The 20,785-nt window shown below is 39.1% G+C and overlaps 1 pseudogene; it reads right to left on the reverse strand.

The window, feature by feature from the left end:
- Window positions 1-18,141: 18,141 nt before the first annotated feature.
- Window positions 18,142-19,054, reverse strand: HMGB3P19 (high mobility group box 3 pseudogene 19; annotated as a pseudogene).

The following is a 20,785-nucleotide window of genomic DNA, read 5'->3' on the forward strand; positions in this document are numbered from 1 at the left end:
GCTTAACATGTCATACTGAAAATAACACTGTTGAAAACATTGCAAAGCCTTCACTATTGCCCTAATGCCTTTGTCTGGAAACCAATGAAAAAGAACAAAGAATGAAAGCAGAAACAAATTTCACATTCTCCACTTGTTTAAGTAAAGGTTAATGACATTTTAAAAATGTTTCTTCAAGGAAAGGACACATAATTTCCAGCAAAACATATCAAAAATCCATGCATTAAGACATTGCATGGATACAAATATGAAAATAACAAAATTCAGTTAACTAAAACCCAAACATCTAAATGTGACTTAAGTTTCTTAGTAAAGTTATTTCTAAAGCTTGGTATTAAATTTTATCTTTTTGTTTGCTGCTCTAGCCACTGGGACAGTGTTTGGCACCTAGCAAGCGCTCAGTGACTATTGAATGAAGCTAAAATTTAATTTGGAATTTCTTCCAGCATCTCTCAGATCTATGATGCCTGAAAAAAATTAGCATTTGAGGAAATGTTCCTGATAACATTGCAGGCCTCTCCTTCTGCTCCTATTTTTTTCTTCAAACATTGTACCTATGGGACTAAAAGTGATACACTTGAAACCCATCAGTAATCAAAGTATAGGTTTCCATAGAAACCGAAACAAAAAAATATCTTCATTTTTTTCTCAGGCAGAGATACAACTGCAGATTCAAATTTAGTTAAAAGGATAAATACCGTTCAAATGATTACATGTTCATTTTATGTGCTGAATATATGATGGGGATTCTAAATTTTGCAGCCTTTTAGCTGTCTGCTTACTGTCAGGTTTTGAATTTCAATTTTGTTTTGTTTTCTTAAACAGCCTAATTGCTGTATTGATAAGAAAGTGCTTTATTATTATGTTTGTTGTTATTACATTGCACGATTATCTAATATTTATATTTGGTTTCCTTTAAATGCCTATTTGATATGTATCAAGTTCATCCATTGAACAATAATCACATCTAAATAAATGAATATTTTTAAATCCCATTTTTATGATATTTACATTTATGTCACCAAGTAACATATGTAGGTGCAATAGAAGTCCTAGAACACTTTCATGAATGACAGCAGTCAGTTTCCTATCAAATATTTAAAAAATTCTCACCAAGACTTCCTGAAATTGCCCTCACTCCTGGATGTACCTAGATATCTATTTATTGTTTTAAAAACTGAGATCCTCTTTTTACACCTCCAGAAAATATTTGTACATAGAAATCAATACTTCAAACTCTCCAAGAGTACCTGCTTAAAGAAAGGCTTTCTTCCCAGAGTGGAGACCACAATCAAATTCCACAGGAAAAGTACTGGATCCCAGGAGCTAAAGAGGAACTGTGGATGAGTTAAGAAATGAAGCTGCTCTCCAAATACTCCAGAACTATTTGCCTCTTTTGAGAATGGTAAATTATCTAAGATACAAACAGCTTATTAGTAATGGTGACAATATCTGTGCATAAAAAGTAATCTTTATTTTTTATTTTCATTTTATTTTTTGTGGCAGGCGTGATTTTTGAAAGAGCGCAGAAGGTTGAGTTGGAAGATTATAAGGAATGGTTTTGGAGCCAATGAAGCTCTTGGTAAAAGATAAGCAAGTTTAACACTAACCCTACATACCTAACCACTGAAATGGATGTATCATGTCTAGCATTTAAAAAAAAAATTGTTGGAAAACTTAACCAAAGAAATCTCTAGTAGCTTCCTAGAACTACTCAAAGGAAAATAGGACGTTCCATAAATTGCACAATAATAAAATGTACAATAAAAATAAAATGTACAATAATAAACACTTAGTCACACACTGTAACCATACCTGATTTCATTCTTCTCTGAATATGCCCATCGCATTCTAAGGTCCTGCCTTTGTTTAACCTATTTTATCTGCCTGCTATATTATTTCATGTAATCAAAGACACAAAGCACATAAATCTCATCCAAAAAAGCCCACTCCCACTATCAAAAATTATTCTCTTCTCTCTCTCTCAGCACTCAAGGCCTTTTTCCCCTTTTCTTTCCTCTTTTTAAATTGTTGTATAAAAGCATTTCTCACCTAATTTTTTTTTCTTTTTTTTTTTTTTTTGAGACAGTCTCGCTCTGTGGCCCAGGCTGGAGTGCAGTGGCACGATCTTGGCTCACTGCAAGCTCCGCCTCCCGGGTTCATGCCATTCTCTTGCCTCAGCCTCCTGAGTAGCTGACACTACAGGCGCCCACCACAAGGCCTGGCTAGTTTTTTGTATTTTTAGTACAGATGGGGTTTCACCGTGTTAGCCAGGATGGTCTTGATCTCCTGACCTCGTGATCCTCCTGCCTCGGCCTCCCAAAGTGTTGAGATTACAGGCATGAGCCACGACGCCTGGCCTAGCATTTTTTCTTACACATGCCTCAGCCACTCATTTTGATTCTATGAAAGTCATTAGAATTATTCCCTGAACACTGTGATTGAAAGTAAAACATGAAAATTTGAAGAAAGCATGTGCTCCACACAGACTGGAATTCTCTCAAAAGCAGAGAATTGTGGGAGAAAGAGGGTTAGAGCGTCTTATTATATAGTAAACAATAGTGAATTGAGTTAAACTAAAGAAAGGTTTAGATGGAGTAAGAAGGCATATCATAGTATTGTTATTTTATTATTTTAATTTTTTAGAGATGGGGTCTTGCTATATTGCCCAGGCTAGAGAGTAGTAGCTATTCATAGGCAAGATTACACTGTCAGGCCTCTGAGCCCAAGCCAAGCCATCACATCCCCTGTGACTAGCACGTATACATCCAGATGGCCTGAAGTAACTGAAGATCCACCTCTTCAACTCACACCTGACCTAAAACCTAAATGCTTTATTTTCTTCTGCAATGCCACTTGAGCCCAATACAAACTCGACAGTAGTTCCAAATAGCCAGAAAATGACACTTTGAATTTTTCCATCCTGCAAGATCTAAATAATTCTTGTCGTAACATAGGCAAACGGTCTGAGGTGCCTGACGTCCAGGCATTCTTTTACACATCAGTCCCTTCCTAGTCTCTGTGCCCAATGCAACTCGTCCCAAATCTTCCTTCTTTCCCTCCCGCCTGTCCCCTCAGTCCCAACCCCAAGAGTCGTTGAGTCTTTCTAATCTTCCTTTTCTACAGACCCATCTGACCTCTCCCCTCCTCGCCAGGCCGAGCTAGGTCCCAATTCTTCCTCAGCCTCCGCTCCTCCACCCTATAATCCTTTTATCACCTCCCCTCCTCACACCTGGTCCAGTTTACAGTTTCATTCCATGACTAGCCCTCCCCCACCTGCCCAGCAATTTCCTCTTAAAAAGGTGGCTGGAGCTAAAGGCATAGTCAAGGTTAATGCTCCTTTTTCTTTATCCCAAATCAGAAGCGTTTAGGCTCTTTTTCATCAAATATAAAAACCCAGCCCAGTTCATGGCTCCTTTGGCAGCAACCCTGAGACGCTTTACAGCCCTAGACCCTAAAAGGTCAAAAGGCCGTCTTATTCTCAAAATACATTTTATTACCCAATCTGCTCCCGACATTAAATAAAACTCCAAAAATTGGAATCTGGCCCTCAAACCCCACAACAGGACTTAATTAACCTCACCTTCAAGGTGTACAATAACAGAAAAAAGTTGCAATTCCTTGCCTCCACTGTGAGACAAACCCCAGCCACAACCTCAGCACACAAGAACTTCCAAACGCCTGAACTGCAGCAGCCAGGTGTTCCTCCAGAACCTCCTCCCCCAGGAGCTTGCTACCCGTGCCGGAAATCTGGCCACCGGGCCAAGGAATGCCCGCAGCCCAGGATTCCTCCTAAGCCGCGTCCCATCTGTGTGGGACCCCACTGAAAATCGGACTGTTCAACTCACCTGGCAGCCACTCCCAGAGCCCCTGGAACTCTGGCCCAAGGCTCTCTGACTGACTCCTTCCCAGATCTTCTCGGCTTAGCGGCTGAAGACTGACACTGCCCGATCGCCTCGGAAGCCCCCTAGACCATCACGGACGCCGAGCTTCAGGTAACTCTCACAGTGGAAGGTAAGCCCGTCCCCTTCTTAATCAATACGGAGGCTACCCACTCCACATTACCTTCTTTTCAAGGGCCTGTTTCCTTTGCCTCCATAACTGTTGTGGGTATTGACGGCCAGGCTTCTAAACCTCTTAAAACTCCCCAACTCTGGTGCCAACTTAGACAATACTCTTTTAAGCACTCGTTTTTAGTTATCCCCACCTGCCCAGTTCCCTTATTAGGCTGAGACACTTTAACTAAATTATCTGCTTCCCCGACTATTCCTGGACTACAGCTATATCTCATTGCCACCCTTCTTCCCAATCCAAAGCCTCCTTTGCGTCCTCCTCTTGTATCCCCCCACCTTAACCCACAAGTATAAGATACCTCTACTCCCTCCTTGGCGACCAGTCATGCACCCCTTACCATCTCATTAAAACCTAATCACCCTTACCCCACTCAATGTCAAGATCCCATCCCACAGCATGCTTTAAAAGGATTAAAGCCTGTTATCACTCGCCTGCTATAGCATGGCCTTTTAAAGCCTATAAACTCTCCTTACCATTCCCCCATTTTATCTGTCCTAAAACCAGACAAGGCTTACAAGTTAGTTCAGAATCTGTGCCTTATCAACCAAATTGTTTTGCCTATCCACCCCATGGTGCCAAACCCATATACTCTCCTATCCTCAATACCTCCCTCTACTACCCATTATTCTGTTCTGGATCTCAAACATGCTTTCTTTACTATTCCTTTGCGCCCTTCATCCCAGCCTCTCTTTGCTTTCACTTAGACTGACCCTGACATGCATTAGGCTCAGCAAATTACCTGGGCTGTACTGCCGCAAGGCTTCACAGACAGCCCCCATTACTTCAGTCAAGCCCAAATTTCATCCTCATCTGTTACCTATCTCAGCATAATTCTCATAAAAACACACGTGCTCTCCCTGCTGATCGTGTCCGATTAATCTCCCAAACCTCAATCCCTTACAAAACAACAACTCCTTTCCTTCCTAGGCATGGTTAGTGCGGTCAGAATTCTTACACAAGAGCCAGGACCGCACCCTGTAACCTTTCTGTCCAAACAACTTGACCTTACTGTTTTAGCCTAGCCCTCATGTCTGCGTGCAGTGGCTGCCACTGCTTTAATACTTATAGAGGCCCTAAAAATCGCAAACTATGCTCAACTCACTCTCTACATTTCTCATAACTTCCAAAATCTATTTTCTTCCTCATACCTGACGCATATACTTTCTGCTCCCCGGCTCCTTCAGCTGTACTCACTCTTTGTTAAGTCCCATAATTACCATTGTTCCTGGCCCAGACTTCAATCTAGCCTCCCACATTATTCCTGATACCACACCTGACCCCCATGACTGTATCTCTCTGATCCACCTGATATTCACCCCGTTTCCCCATATTTCCTTCTTTCCTGTTCCTCACCCTGATCACGCTTGATTTATTGATGGCAGTTCCACCAGGCCTAATCTCCACACACCAGCAAAGAGGCAGGCTATGCTATAGTACAAGCCACTAGCCCGCCTCTCAGAACCTCTCATTTCCTTTCCATCGTGGAAATCTATCCTCAAGGAAATAACTTCTCAGTGTTCCATCTGCTATTCTACTACTCCTCAGGGATTATTCAGGCCCCCTCCTCCCTGCCCTACACATCAAGCTGGAGGATTTGCCCCAACCCAGGACTGGCAAATTAGCTTTACTCAACATGCCCTGAGTCAGGAAACTAAAATACCTCTTAAGTCTAAATAGACACTTTCACTGAATAAGTAAAGGCCTTTCCTACAGGGTCTGAGAAGGCCACCACAGTCATTTCTTCCCTTCTGTCAGACATAATTCCTCAGTTTAGCCTTCCCACCTCTATACAGTCTGATAACAGACCAGCCTTTATTAGTCAAATCAGCCAAGCAGTTTTTCAGGCTCTTAGTATTCAGTGAAACCTTTATATCCCTTACGGTCCTCCGTCTTCAAGAAAAGTAGAATGGACTAAAGGTCTTTTAAAAACACACCACACCAAGCTCAGCCACCAACTTAAAAAGGACTGGACAATACTTTTACCACTTTCGCTTCTCAGAATTCAGGCCTGTCCTCGGACTGCTACAAGGTACAGCCCATTTGAGTTCCTTTTTATTAGGCCCCAGTCTCATTCCAGACACCGGACCAACTTAGACTGTGCCCCGAAAAAACTTGTCATCCCTACTATTTTCTGTCTAGTCATACTCTTATTCTCCGTTCTCAACTACTCATACATGCCCTGCTCTTGTTTACACTGCCGGTTTACACTCTTTCTCCAAGCCAACACAGCTGATATCTCCTCTTGCTATCCCCAAACTGCCACTCTTAACTCTTGAAGTAAATAAATAATCTTTGCTGGCAGGTCTATACTGAATCTCCTTAGGCACTTTCTAATCAGATGTCCTAGGTCCTCCCAATTCTTAGACCTTTTACACCTGTTTTTCTCCTTCTCTTATTCCATTTAGTTTTTCAATTCATACAAAACCGTATCCAGGCCATCACCAATAATTCTACACAACAAATGTTTCTTCTAACAACCCCACAATATCACCCCTTACCGCAAAATCTTCCTTCAGCTTAATCTCTCCCACTCTAGGTTCCCACGCCGCCCCTAATCCCGCTTGAAGCAGCCCTGAGAAGCATCGCTCATTCTCTCTCCATACCACCCCCAAAAATTTTCGCCGCCCCAAGACTTCAACACTATTTTGTTTTATTTTTCTTATTAATATAAGAAGGTAGGAATGTCAGGCCTCTGAGCTCAAGCCAAGCCATCTCATCCCCTGTGACTTGCACGTATACATCCAGATGGCCTGAAGTAACTGAAGATCCACAAAAGAAGTAAAAATAGCCTTAACTGATGACATTCCACCATTGTGATTTGTTCCTGTCCCGCCCTAACTGATCAATGTACTTTGTAATCTCCCCCACCCTTAAGAAGGTCTTTGTAATTCTCCCCATCCTTGAGAATGTACTTTGTGAGATCCACCCCTGCCCGCAAAACATTGCTCTTAACTTCACCGCCTATCCCAAAACCTGTAAGAACTAATGATAATCCACCACCCTTTGCTGACTCTCTTTTTGAACTCAGCCCGCCTGCACCCAGGTGAAATAAACAGCCATGTTGCTCACACAAAGCCTGTTTGGTGGTCTCTTCACATGGACGCGCATGAAACATACTGCACTACAGCCTCAAACTACTGGGCTCAAACAATCTCCCTGCCTCTGCCTCCCAAGTACTCTTGAACCTGGTGCCATCCCTATTGGAAAGGCTGAAGCAGGAAGAATGAGCCCAGTAGAGCATGCTACAGGTGCATGCCACCATGCCTGGCTTTGGTGGTGTTTTTTTAATGTATCTAAGCACACTTCTCCAAATATAAATCCCTGTTACATTAAAAAAGCAGAACCTTAGATCTAATGAAAACTAAAAGAAAGCTTGATTAATCTTCAGGAGAATAAATTATATCTTGCATATTATTCAGCCTCAAATATTTATCTTGGTTCTCTGTAGGCAGTGGTTCTTAATCATTTTTATCCCAAGGATTCTCTGGTAATTCAATGCAAAACAATAAGAACCTAGAGTCATCACTAGATAAGCAGAAACTGAGGAAGGAGTAAATGATCCAAAGAAATAAAGATGCATTTTGCCTTGTCACAGGAATTGCAAGGGGAGACATTCCCAATGCTGGAGGGTCTTCAAAAGTCCCACAGAAGCACTCCATGAGATAAAGAAAGAGTCTGTTTTAAACACCTTCCAAGTTTAGTAAAAGCTGACGTTCGCTTGCCATCGCAGCATAAGTCAAGCAAGAATTCTTCCCCTCCCCTTGCCTCCCTTTGTATCCACATGCTCCAATTCAGGATGAGTCTGGAACCTAACTGTCAAAATCTCATAAGTAAGTGCAAGGAAAAATAAGTCAACTTCAGCTATAAACTTAGCTTTAAAAGTCCTGAAAGTATAAGAAAAATAATATGGTCAATTACAGTATATTTCAGAAATGCAAAAATGATTCAACCTCAAAAAATTTAACAATGTGATATTACGCAACAGTGTTCAAAAGTGGAGAAATTAATATCTTCTTATTAGGAGTCTAAATGCATTTAATAAAAGCTAACACCTATTTACAAATAAAAGCTTTTAGAAAACTAGAAATATAAGGTAGTTTCTTTAACTTGATATACTCTATCAAATCCCTATAGGAAAGATTCTATTTAATGGGAAAACTAGAGAAGGTTGGAAACAAGAAAAGAATCTCTCCCCTACAATTCACCTTAGAAGAGGAGATATTGACCAATGCAGTAAGATGAGAGGAAAAAGATAGGTAAAAATTGTAGGAAACAAGATCAAATTATATGCTGTTATTTATATCACAAACACAAGAAAATCAAAAGAGATTAGAATCAGGTTAGAATCAGAGTCAGACAGATATTTGCTTTGTGTGTATCAATTTCCAAAAGCCGTATGTTCCTCTAGGTATTTTCATGAGTAATTGTGATGGTTAGTTTTATGTTATCAATTTGGCTAAGCTGTAGTGCTCAATTATTTGAATGAAACACTAATCCAGTTGTTGCTGTGAATATATTCTATAGATGCGGTTAACATCTTCCATCAGTTGACTTCAAGTAAAGATTACCCTTGGTAATGTGAATGTGCCTCATCTTATTATTTGAACACCTTACGAGAAAGTACAAGTTTTCCACAAAGGAACCTTTCCACAAGACTGCAGTATTAACTCCCGCCTTCGTTTCCAGCCTGCAGGCCCGCCCTACAGATCCCGAACTTACTAGCCCCCACAATTAGGTAAGCTAATCCCTTAAAATATATATAGATATGAGATAGAGAGAGAGACAGAGTGTGAGAGAGAGATATCCTATCAATTATGTTTCTCTGGAGAATTTTTAATACAATGAGTAAAATAGGAAAATGAGATATATTTTGCAATGGTGTGAAAATCTGTATCTTATCGAGAAACAAAGCTATATAAAAATTAGTAAGACCAATACAGATAAAAATTTAAGCTTTATTAAAAGACATAAAATAAGTGAGATGACATGATTATGGATGGGATTTTTTAATATCCAATGCAATTGCAACTTTAATCTCAGGCAGATTTTAGTAGAATGTGAGAAACATGTCCCAAAATAAATGTGGAAGAATAAAGATTAACAAACAGCTAAGGAAATTATTGAAATAATTTTTGAAAAAGGAGAATCCACCTGCTGGATATAAGCACGTGTTATTTTTTTCCTTCAACTTTTATTTTAAGTTCCAGGATACATGTGCAGGATGTACAGGTGTGTTGTATAGGTAAACGTGTGCCATGGTGGTTTGCTGCACAGATCAACCCATCACTTAGGTAGTAAGCCCAGCATCCCTTAGCTATTCTTCCTGATGTTCTCCCTCCTCCCTCTACCACCCCTCAAAAGGCCCCATTGTGTGTTGTTCCCCCTCAGGGGTCCATGTGTTTTCATCATTCAGCTCCCACTTATAAGTGAGAATACACAGTGTTTGGTTTTCTGTTCCTGCATTAGTTTGCTGAGGATAACGGCTTCCAGCTACATCCATGTCCCTGCAAAGGACATGATCTAGTACTTTTTTATGGCTGCATAGTATTCCATGGTGTCATATGCTACATTTTTTTATCCAGTCTATCATTGATGGGCATTTGGGTTGATTCCATGTCTTTGCTATTGTGAATAGTGCTGCAATAAACATATGTGTGCATGTGTCTTTATAACAGAATGATTTATATTGCTTTGGGTTTATACCTAGTAATAGGATTGCTGGGTCAAATGGTATTTCCACCTCTAGATCTTTGAGGAATTACCACACTATCTTCCACAATGGTTAAACTAATTTACACTCCCACCAACAGGGTGAAAGTATTCCTTTTTCTCTGCAACCTTGCCACCATCTGTTGTTTTTTCACTGTTTAATAATGGCCATTCTGACTGGCGTGAGATGGAATCTCATTGTGGTTTTGATTTGCATTTCTCTAATGATCAGTCATGTTGAGCTATTTTTCATATGTCTGTTGGCTGCATGTATGTATTATTTTGAAAAGTGTTCATATCCTTTGGCCACTTTTTAATGGGGTTGTTTGTTTTTTTCTTGTAAATTTGTTGAAGTTCCTTGTAGACTCTGGATATTAGACCTTTATCAGATGGATAGATCACAAAAATTTGCTTTCATTCTGTAGGTTGTCTGTTCACTCTGGTGATAGTTTCTTTTGCTGTGCAGAAGCTCTTTAGTTTAATTAGATCCCATTTATCAATTCTTTCTTTTGTTGCAATTGCTTTTGGCATTTTTGTCATGAAATCTTTGCCCGTGCCTATATAAGCACGTATTTTAAATCCATTGATATCAAATCAGTGCAGTGCAATTCATGCACAGGAAGTGACACATGGATCAATGAAATGAAGTATTTCCCTAGTCACATGTAAGTGACAAAACTTTAAGACATTGCAAATGACAGAAGACAGAGCAGATTGTATAATAAATAATGTTGGGAAAAATGGCTTGTTACAAGAAGAGAACAAGTAGATTTCCTACCACACAATACATGCAACTGTAAAAGTGTTAAATCTAAATGTTAAAGGGCATGTTGTAAAACACTTTAAAGATTTCAGAGAGTTGTTTCATAAATTTGAGTTGCGAAATAATTTCTTAAGACTCCAAAAGACCAATTTGCTTTTAAATTTATAAATAGTATAATTTAATTACACAAAGTAAGCCATTTATTTTTTACAAACAACTTAACCCTAAAAATATCAAGTTGATAGAATTGTATATAATTCCTCTCTAAAAGTAGATTAAATAACTCCATTTTTGAAATGGAGAATTGAAATGATTCTCAAAACCCATGAATGAGCTGAGATTTATAACTTAAGGAGCAGTGCTTTGTGCACAGATTTTCTAAATCTTACTTAATCACTTCTCCAACTGAAACTACTCTTGTCAGTTACTCACAAATAATTCTTCCTACCCCTTTGTCAGGACAAGTTCTAGGCATGGTGGTAGAGTTTACATATTTTGTCTTAAGGTTCCTCAACAATTTTCTAAATCCTCTCAGATCTGATTTTTCAATTCATCTCTGTCGACACAGGAGTCTGCTAGGGAAATGCTCACAGGTACTGTACATTCCCTGGAGAGGTAGCATAAAAATACTAAGACATACGATCAAAAGACCTAGATTCCACATCTATCCCTCCCACTACCAGCTCTGTGACCTTAGGAAAGTATATTGTCACTTTTTGTCAAGTATACATATGGCTAAAACTAGGGGGACAATGAGCTTGCAAGGCCCTTCATAGTTCTAACAACTATAATTCTGCCATTACCAATGACGCTAATGTGAGATTATAAATCATGGTAGACCAAAGTGAAAGATATCTGGGAATAGGCCCCATGGACTCTGACACTGCAAATACAGCGTCAATTACCTAGTACTTTTATGACAACAACTGACCCTATCCTCAATATGGTAAGAAAAATTTCTGTTTTCTGGGTTCTTTAGTTGTTGACAACAGAAAAACAAAATTGGCTAAATTAAGCAAGAAAATTTTTTTAAAAAATTATTCGAAGCAAATGTGATGAGTCATGAAATTGAAAAACAGAGCCGGTAAACTAAGTTTCTTAAAGAACAGTGTGATAATTAATTTTATGTGTCATCTTGACTGTACCACAGGGTGCCCAGATATTTGGTTAAACATTATTCTGGGTGTGTCTGTGAGGGTGTTTCTGAGCTGGGGCATCAGTCTTCCCCTGTCTTTGGATGCAGACTTGCACTGGAACTTACACCATCAGCTCTCTTGGGTATCCAGATTGCTGAATGCAAATCTTGGGACTTCTCAGCCTCCATAATCCAATTCCTTATAATACATATTGGTACATATATTTATATAATATATACAGAGGCTGAAAAACTAATGTACATATATATATATATATATCTCCTATCCATTTGTTTTTCTGGAGTCCCTGACTATATATACAGAAACTCAAAAATCCCTTGGGATGATGAGAAAAAAGACAGAGAGCATCCCCACATCACCGTGGAGGTACTTCTTTACCAACTACTTCCTCTCTTCATTTCATCTGTGAGAGCTATTTTGCCTTAGTTGGATTATAAACTTATCATCTCTTGGCCAAGGGAAGTCAAAGCATCTTGGTTGAAATCATGGACAAGGCTGACTGCAATAGAAGAGAGAGATCTTTTTCTCAAAGAGAATCAAGATAGCTACCACACAAAGGAGAAATTAATCTTGGATAAGCAAGAACAACAGCTCTCACAACAATTACTCACGGAAATCTCTGACATTGTCATAATTGTCATTTTCTGAGCCTTTGCTCACATTGGAAGCTCTCCGCTGTCAGGCCTAATAGAATCAGAGAAATTATCGATACTCTGCAGCTCATCTTCCTCTGAAATGGTAGTTTACTTGCTTGGACTTGTTGGGGACCCTCTGCTGTTTTTATTCCCCCCATTCCTTTACTCAAATCTCTTCAAACAATCAAAAAAGAAAAAAAAACTAAGAATATGTATTTACGTTTTTTCTCAATGTCTCAAAAGAATTTTAATGTCTTTAAAAAGCATGTTTTTCTCCAGGCACAGTCAGTCTTGGTAATTTACTATCCATACTTTCATAGGGATAGAGTAAGATGTGCAAAACCAAATGAGGTAGAGTTCATTTTGAAAATAGAGAAAGATATTATAGTCTAGAAAATCACTGACAGAACTACTTCTGCTCCATTATGACCAAACTCTTTTTTAGAATTAAGAATCCATCATGCTGGCAAGAAATGTGCTTGGAAGGATGCAGAGTTATTCTGCGATCTCAATGAGAAAAGATGTAGAGGTGGCAAAAGAAAATTTTGCAAACTTCCTAAATGTGTCTACACTCAAGTTACTACTTTCCTTCAGCAACCTGGATTTGATTATAAGGATGACTGAATAGTATAAAATAGGTTTGTTTTAGTCTCATGGTTTCTTGGGGATTTAATTCCTATTTGATTTTGATTACCTTTTTACAAAATGGGACAAAATGTGGCCACTGGATATTGAATGTTTCAGCAGATGCTATCTGGTCTTACCCAGTGGTAAACTGCACGACCATCTGACCTCCCTGAAGTTGCAGCCAAATACAGCACTGAGAATGTATGTGTCCTTTGTGAATATTGCACTTCTTGTTTACTTTGAAGAAGTCCTTTTCCCTGACACTCTAGAAATAAGGAGAAGCCTAGCCCTGGAGAAGAGCTTTACTGATGCCCACTACCACAGAACTGCCTGTGCCCATGGAGACACACCTGCAGCGATAGAATCCTCTTCCTATTTTTGCCCCAGTCTGTGTAGTTATTTGCAATGGAGACAAGCAAAGAGAAATTGGAAGAAATATCTGACTTAAACAGAGCATTTGAAATGCAGGGGTTTCATGTGTTAATATAGACAAAGATTCCATCTGGAGTTGAAATCTGGTCTGATTTTAAAAATATGTAATAATATGTGAATAAACCATCTTAAAAATACAAGAGTTCAAGACCAGCCCGGGCAACACGGTGAAACCCCGTCTCTACTAAAATACAAAGAATTAGCCGAGCATGATGGTGGGCACCTGTAGTCCCAGCTACTCAGGAGGCTGAGGCAGGAGAATTGCTTGAACCTGGGAGGCAGAGGTTGCAGTGAGCCAAGATCACGCCACTACACTCCAGCCTGGGTGACAGAGCGAGACTCTGTCTCACCAAACAAAACAAAACAAAACAAAAACAAAACTGACTCTTTTGGAGAGCAAGCTTTTACTAAGCCTGTGACCTCAGCTATGTCATTTAATTTCTCTTAGTCTGGTCTTATTTATCTGTTTAGTAGTATCTGCCTCACCCAACTCAGAGGACAATTTGAAATAATGGACGTGAAAACACAATGTAAATCCAAAGTGAAGTGAAATGGAATTATTTCTGGGAAACAGTCTGATGTAATTCAAATAAAATAGGCATTGCAGTTAGGATATCTTGGTCCAACTGAAGATTCTTAATAGCAAGGTATATATTTTGGCATTTTCAATTACAGGAACATGAACTAGCAATAAATAGTAGAAAAATCATTAGCTCAGGTTTGTAGTCAGACAGACATAGGTTCAAGTACAGACTCTGCCACTTAATAATTTTTGTTGTCACACAGCACCTTCCCCTGTCTAATACTCAATTTTCCCTCTTGCAAAATGAGAAAAATATTCTCTACCACGACCAAAATTAAACTGGCAATATACCCATAAAAGGAAAGAGAAAGATCAAATGAAAAAAGTTAAGGCAGCCTCAGATGCAAGAGGAGCTGAAGAAATGTAAAAGGTGGTGATAAACTACACCAAAAGAAGAACAGCTGCAGATTCTAAAAACCAAAAAGTAATCAGGTATTTTAAATGAAAATGAGAATTTTGCTTAGCATTAATGGGGAAAAAGGCCTCCCAGTTAAAAAGGCTAGAGAAAGGCAACTTTAGTAATCTAAACCAGCTAAAAACTAGTGAGATTTTGCAGGGGCAACAAAAGAGGTCAGGGTATTTCATCACCTACTCAGAATTACGCATTAAAAAATATGTGGATAGGATATTCTTCGGCCTAAGCAACTAAAAAGATGGGTGTGTAAATATGTCAAAGCTGTATGGTCATGGAAACATATGTCTTCTTTTCTTTTTTTTTCTTCAACTTTTAAGTTCCAGGGTACACTTGCAGGATGTGCAGGTTTGTTACACAGGTAAACGTGCCATGGTGGTTTGCTTTACAGATCAATCCATCACCCAGGAATTAAGCCGAATTAAGCCCAGCAACCATTAGCTATTGTTCCTTGTGCTCTCACTCCCCCTGGCCACCCTGACAGTCCCCAGTGTGGGTTGTTTTCCTCCATGTGTCCATGTGTTCTCATCATTCAGCTCCCACTTATAAGTGAGAACATATAGTGTTTGGTTTTCTGTTCCTGCATTAGTTTGCTGAGGATAACGGCTTCCAGCTCCATACAAGTCTCTGCAAAAGACATCATCTCATACCTTTTATGCCTGCATAGTATTCCATGGTGCATATGTAAATTTTCTTTATCCAGTATATCACTAATGGGAATTTGGGTTGATTCCATGTCTTTGCTATTGTGAATAGTGCTGCAGTGAACATATGTGTGAATGTGTCTTTGTAATAGAATGATTTCTATTCCTTTGTGTTTATACCCAGTAACAGGATTGCTGGGTCAAATGGTATGTCCACCTCTGATCTCTGAGGAATTGCCATAGTCTTCCACTGTGGTTGAACTAATTTAAACTTCCACCACAGTGCTAAAGTGTTCCTCTTTCTCTGCAACCTTGCCAGCATCTGTTGTTTTTTTTGACTTTTTAATAGTAGGCATTCTGACTGGCGTGAGATGGTTATCTTATTGGGGTTTTAATTTGCATTTCTCTAATGATCAGTGATGTTGAGTTATTTTCATGTTTCTTAGCCACATGGATGTCTTCTTTTGGGAAGTGTCTGTTCATGTCCTTTGCCCACTTTTTAATGGGATTGTTTGTTTTTTCTTTTTTTATAAATTTAAGTTCCTTGTAGACCCTGGATACTAGATCTTTGTCAGATGGATAGATCACAGAAATTTTCTCCCATTCTGTGGGTTGTCTGTTCACTCTGATGATAGTTTTTGTTGTTGTTGTTGTTTGCTGTGCAAAAGTTCTTCAGTTTAATTAGATACCATTTTTCAATTTTTGCTTTCATTGCTATTGCTTTTGGCATTTTCATCATGAAATCTTTGCCAGTGCTTATGTCCTGAATGGTACTGCCTGGGTTTTCTTCTAGAGTTTTTACAGTTTTGGGGTTTACATTTAAGTCTTTAGTCCCTCTTGAGTTAATTTTTGTATAAAGTATAAGGAAAGGGTCTAGTTTCAATTATCTGCATATGGCTAGCCAGTTCTCCCAGCACCATTTATTAAATAGGGAATCCTTTACCCATTCTTTGTTTTTGTCAGGTTTAAGATCAAATAGTTGTAGGTGTGTGGTCTTATTTCTGAGTTCTCTATTCTGTTCCATTGGTCTATGTGTCTGTTTTTGTACTGGTACCATGCTGTTTTGGTTACTGTAGCCTTATAGTATAGTTTAAAGTCAGGTAGCATAATGCCTCCAGCTTTGCTTTTTTGCTTAGGATTGTCTTGGCTATTCAGGCTCTTATTTGGTTCCATATGAATTTTAAAATAGTTTCTTCTAATTCTGCGAAGATTGTCAATGGTACGTTAATGGGAATAGCATTGAATCTATAAATTACTTTGGGTAGTATGGCCATTTTCACAATATTGATTCTTCTTATCCATGAGCATGGAATGTTTTTTCATTTGTTTGTGTCCTTTCTGATTTCTTTGAGCAGAGGTTTGTAGTTCTCCTTGAAGAGGTCCTTCACTTCAATTAGCTGTATTCCTAGGTATTTTATTCTTTTTGTGGTAATTGTGAATGGAAGTTTATTCATAATTTGGCTCTCTGCCTGCCTGTTGGTGGTGTATAGGAATGTTAGCAATTTTTGCACATTGATTTTGTATCCTGAAAATTTGTTGAAGTTGCTTATCAGCTTAAGAAGGTTTTGGGCTGAGACTATGGGGTTTTCTAAATATAGGATAATGTCATCTGCAAACAGGGATAATTTGACTTCCTCTCTCCCTGCTTAAATACCCTTTATTTCTTTCTCTTGCCTGATTACCCTGGTGAGAACTTCCAATGCTATGTTGAATAGGAGTGGTGAGAGAGGCATCTTTTTCTTGTGCCAGTTTCCAAAGGGAATGCTTCCAGCCTTTGCCCATTCAGTATGATATTGGCTATGTGTTTGTCATATATGGCTCTTAATATTTTGAGATATGTTCCTTCAATACCTAGTTTATTAAGAGTTTTTAACATAAAGGGATGTTAAATTTTATCAAAGGCCTTTTCTGCATCTATTGAGATAATCATGTGGTTTTTGTCTTTGTTTATGTTTATGTGATTAATTACATTTATTAATTTGCATGTGTTAAATCAAACTTGTATCCTGGGGAATAAGCCAACTTGATTGTGAGAGACAGGCTTTTTAGATGTACTGCCTGATTCGGTTTGTTCGTATTTTATTGAAGATTTTTGCTTCGATGTTCATCAGGGGTATTGGCCTGAAGTTTTCTTGTTTTGTTGTTGTATCTCTTTCAGGTTTTGGTACCAGGATGATGCTGGCTTCATAAAATGAGTTAGGGAGGAGTCCCTCCTTTTCAATTGTTTGGGATAGTTTCGGTAAAAATGATACCAGCTCTTCTTTTTACCTCTGACAGAATTCAGCTGTAAATCTGTTTTTGTTTGTTTGTTTGTTTGTTTGTTTTGTTTTGTTTTTACTTGGCAGGCTATTGATTACTACTTCAATTTCAGAACTTGTTATTGGTCTATTCAGGGATTCAATTTCTTCCTGGCTCAGTCTTGGGAGGGTATATGTGTCCAGGAATTTATCCATTTCCTCTAGATTTTCTAGTTTATGTGTATAGAAGTATTCATAGTATTCTCTAATGGTTGTTTGTATTTCTGTGGGGTCAGTGGTGATATCCCCCTTATTTTGATTGTATCTGTTTGGTTCTTCTCTCTTTTCTTCTTCATTAGTCTAGCTAGCAGTCTATTTTATTATTATTTTTAAATAACCAGCTCTTGGATTCATTGATTTTTTGAAGGGTTTTCCGTGTCTCTATCTCTCAGTTCTGCTCTGATCTTGATTATTTCTTTTATCCTGCTAGCTTTGGGGTGTGTTTTCTCTTGGTTCTCTAGTTCTTTTAGCTGTGATGTTAGGTTGTTGATTTAAGATCTTACTAGCTTTTAGATGTGGGCATTTAGTAATATAAATTCCTTTAACACTGCTTTAGCTGCGTCCCAGAGATTCTGGTACATTTTCTCTTTGTTCTCATTAGCCTCAAAGAACTTCTTGATTTCTGCCTTAAATTCATTATTTACCCGGGAGTCATTCAGGAGCAGGTTGTTTACAGTTGGTAGCTCCAGATTTCTAGCCAATAACCATATATTTAACACCACCTTACAAATAGGAAAAGAGAAATGCCAGAAACATGTTTAAATGCTTTCTCACAGTAACAGCAAAATGCACAGAGTGGAGGGAACATGAGAGTTCCTTTACATTTTAAACATCTTTGGAAAGATGCACAACTTTGATGCCATTTCAGGGTGCTCCGGACACCCATGGCCACTTCATATAAAGCGCTCACAATTTCTAGGGCACTTTGAGAGACTCCAATATGATTGTAGTGAAATTTTGTAATTAAACCTAATGAGGGCAACCGACACTTCTCAAATAAGAGATGTGTCAATTATAGTGCTCCCTTACTCTAAGGCATTCACAAGGAGACAGATAAACAGGTTTTTTTTTTTACTCATCCTACTCCTCCTTCTTCTCTTCTTCCTCCTCGTCTTCTTCATCTTCCTCTTCCGTCTTCTTCCGGGCAACTTTAGCAGGATCCTTTGCACCAGCAAACTTTCCTTGAAACTTATAGTCAGCAGCATTCTTCTCATACTTCTCCTTCAGCTTGGCCATCTTAGGGATGTAAGGCTGCTTTTCATTGTCACTTAGGTTATTCCACATCTCACCCAGTTTTCTTTTTTTTGCCATGTCACCAAAAGAGTTGCCAGGGTTTGTGGATTTTATCTTGGGGCTGAATTCTTAACAGAACAGGAAGAATGCAGTCGATGGCCTTTTGGGGGCATTAGGGTCCTTCTTCTTGTCTCACTTAGCTGGTCCATAATCCTTCATTTCCCAATCATAGCATACTTTATCCGCCTTTGCCACTTCACCAAATTTAGGCTTCTCTTTCCCAGACTCTGTCTTCTACCTCTCAGAGCGCTTCTTGGAAAATTCTGTAAAATTGACAGGGAGACCTCTGGGTTTTTCTTCTTATGTTCTTCTCTGCACATCTGCCCAAAGAAGGCATAAGCAGACATGTTGCCCTTTTTGCTCGGGGTTATCGTTAGCCATCCTGACTATAGTGTTCACTAGTCTAAGCAGTGCAGGGCATGACACGCAGCTCGGCGCTCCCCAGCCGCCTCACACTAGCTGCCTCCACGAGAGCCACCTATTCCCTATTCCTTTCTTTCTTTTGTTTTCTTTTGTTTTCTATTTTTATTTTTATTTTTTTTATTTAGACAAAGCCTCACTCTGTCACCCAGGGTGGAGTGCAGTGGTGCGATCTTAGCTCACTGCAACCTCTGCCTCCCGGGTTCAAGCGATTCTCCTGCCTCAGTCTCCTGAGTAGCTGAGACTAGGCGCCCGCCACTACACCCGGCTAATCTTTGTATTTTTAGTAGAGACGGGGTTTCGCCATGTTGGCCAGGCTGGTCTCGAACTCCTGACCTCTGGTGATCCACCTGCCTCAGCCTCCCAAAGTGCTAGGATTACAGGCATGAGCCACGGCACCAGCCCTCTTCTTTTCAAAGTAAGTCTCCAGTGGGCTTTTCTGGAGGCCCAAGTAACTTGCATTTATCAGTTTATAGGATTTAGATTCTGCAGTGAAGCCAGGGATAACACAAGTAAAGCAAACTTTTGAAATTAAAGCAACATGCAGCTACATAACCAAAGAGCTCTATCTTATAGCTGTGGTAAAATATTTATGAGACAAGAATTTCACAACAAAGCTGAAAAATATGTTAGATGCATATTGGTGGAGAATATTTTATTCTTCTTTTTTTTCTGAGAAGAATTGAACCGATAAGCCACATTTGATGAATGTTATGAATAATTCAGCTGGGTATGTTTGAGCATCAAAGACATATAATTTTTTAAAAAGCCAGAACTTTATCAATATATCAATATACAGTGGTGATGACATAACAAAGTTATTTTAAGGGTACACAGGAATAGGGACTTAGGTTTGGTACAACATCCAAACATCATGAAAACAAGAGCATATTTCATGAAGAATCCAGGGCAGCCTTGAGATCTTCTCCTTGTTTCTCTAGTGCTAGGGGAGAGAAATTCTTCAAAGTAAACCAGAAGTACAATATGCACAGAGGCCACAAGTAGTCTGGGTGTTATATTTTGCTGCAACCTGAGGAGGAACAGGTAGTCATATTTTCATGCCCATATCCACCATTGGAGTAGCTCAATTACCTCTGTATATCTGCTAATGTCTGCCTTGTATCAAATGTCTTCTAGTGACATTCTTTTTCCCCTCTTGACTTCCACTTGGCCCATAATTTTCTCTTCCCTGTGATTTTGACTCACCAGGAGCCCAGAGGCCATCAATTACCTCATAGGATCCTTTCAGCTTCTACTTGCACTCCAGCAACTTTCATTCACAGTTCATATTCCCAGGAGAGATGAGCTGATTGATCCACCCCGTCTTTTCATATCAATCCGTGGCACAATTTCTGACTGGCCTTTGGGTCAGATGCCACTTTCAGTCCAATCATTTGTTAATGGGAAAGTCACATGGTTCATAACAGGGAATTTAGGTGAGGAACTTTCATTCACAAGAATTGGGTCTTGATATATTATGAGACCACTCTCAGTGACTATGGAAATCTAAGCAAGTCATTAACTAGCTTTAAGCACTCTGTGCCTGTCTCACCAGATTTTTGTAATCATGATATGAAATAATTTATGTGAGAGCCCTTTGTAACTTCTAAAGTAAACTATCATGATATGAATATGCATATATTTAATTCTTTTCTTTTTCTTTTTTCTTTTTTTTTTTTGAGACAGGGTCTCACTCTGTTGCCCAGGCTGGAGTGCAGTAGCATGATCTGGGCTCACTG

The sequence above is a fragment of the Homo sapiens genome, chromosome 6, assembly GCF_000001405.40.
Source record: "Homo sapiens chromosome 6, GRCh38.p14 Primary Assembly".
Taxonomy (NCBI): Eukaryota; Metazoa; Chordata; class Mammalia; order Primates; family Hominidae; genus Homo; species Homo sapiens.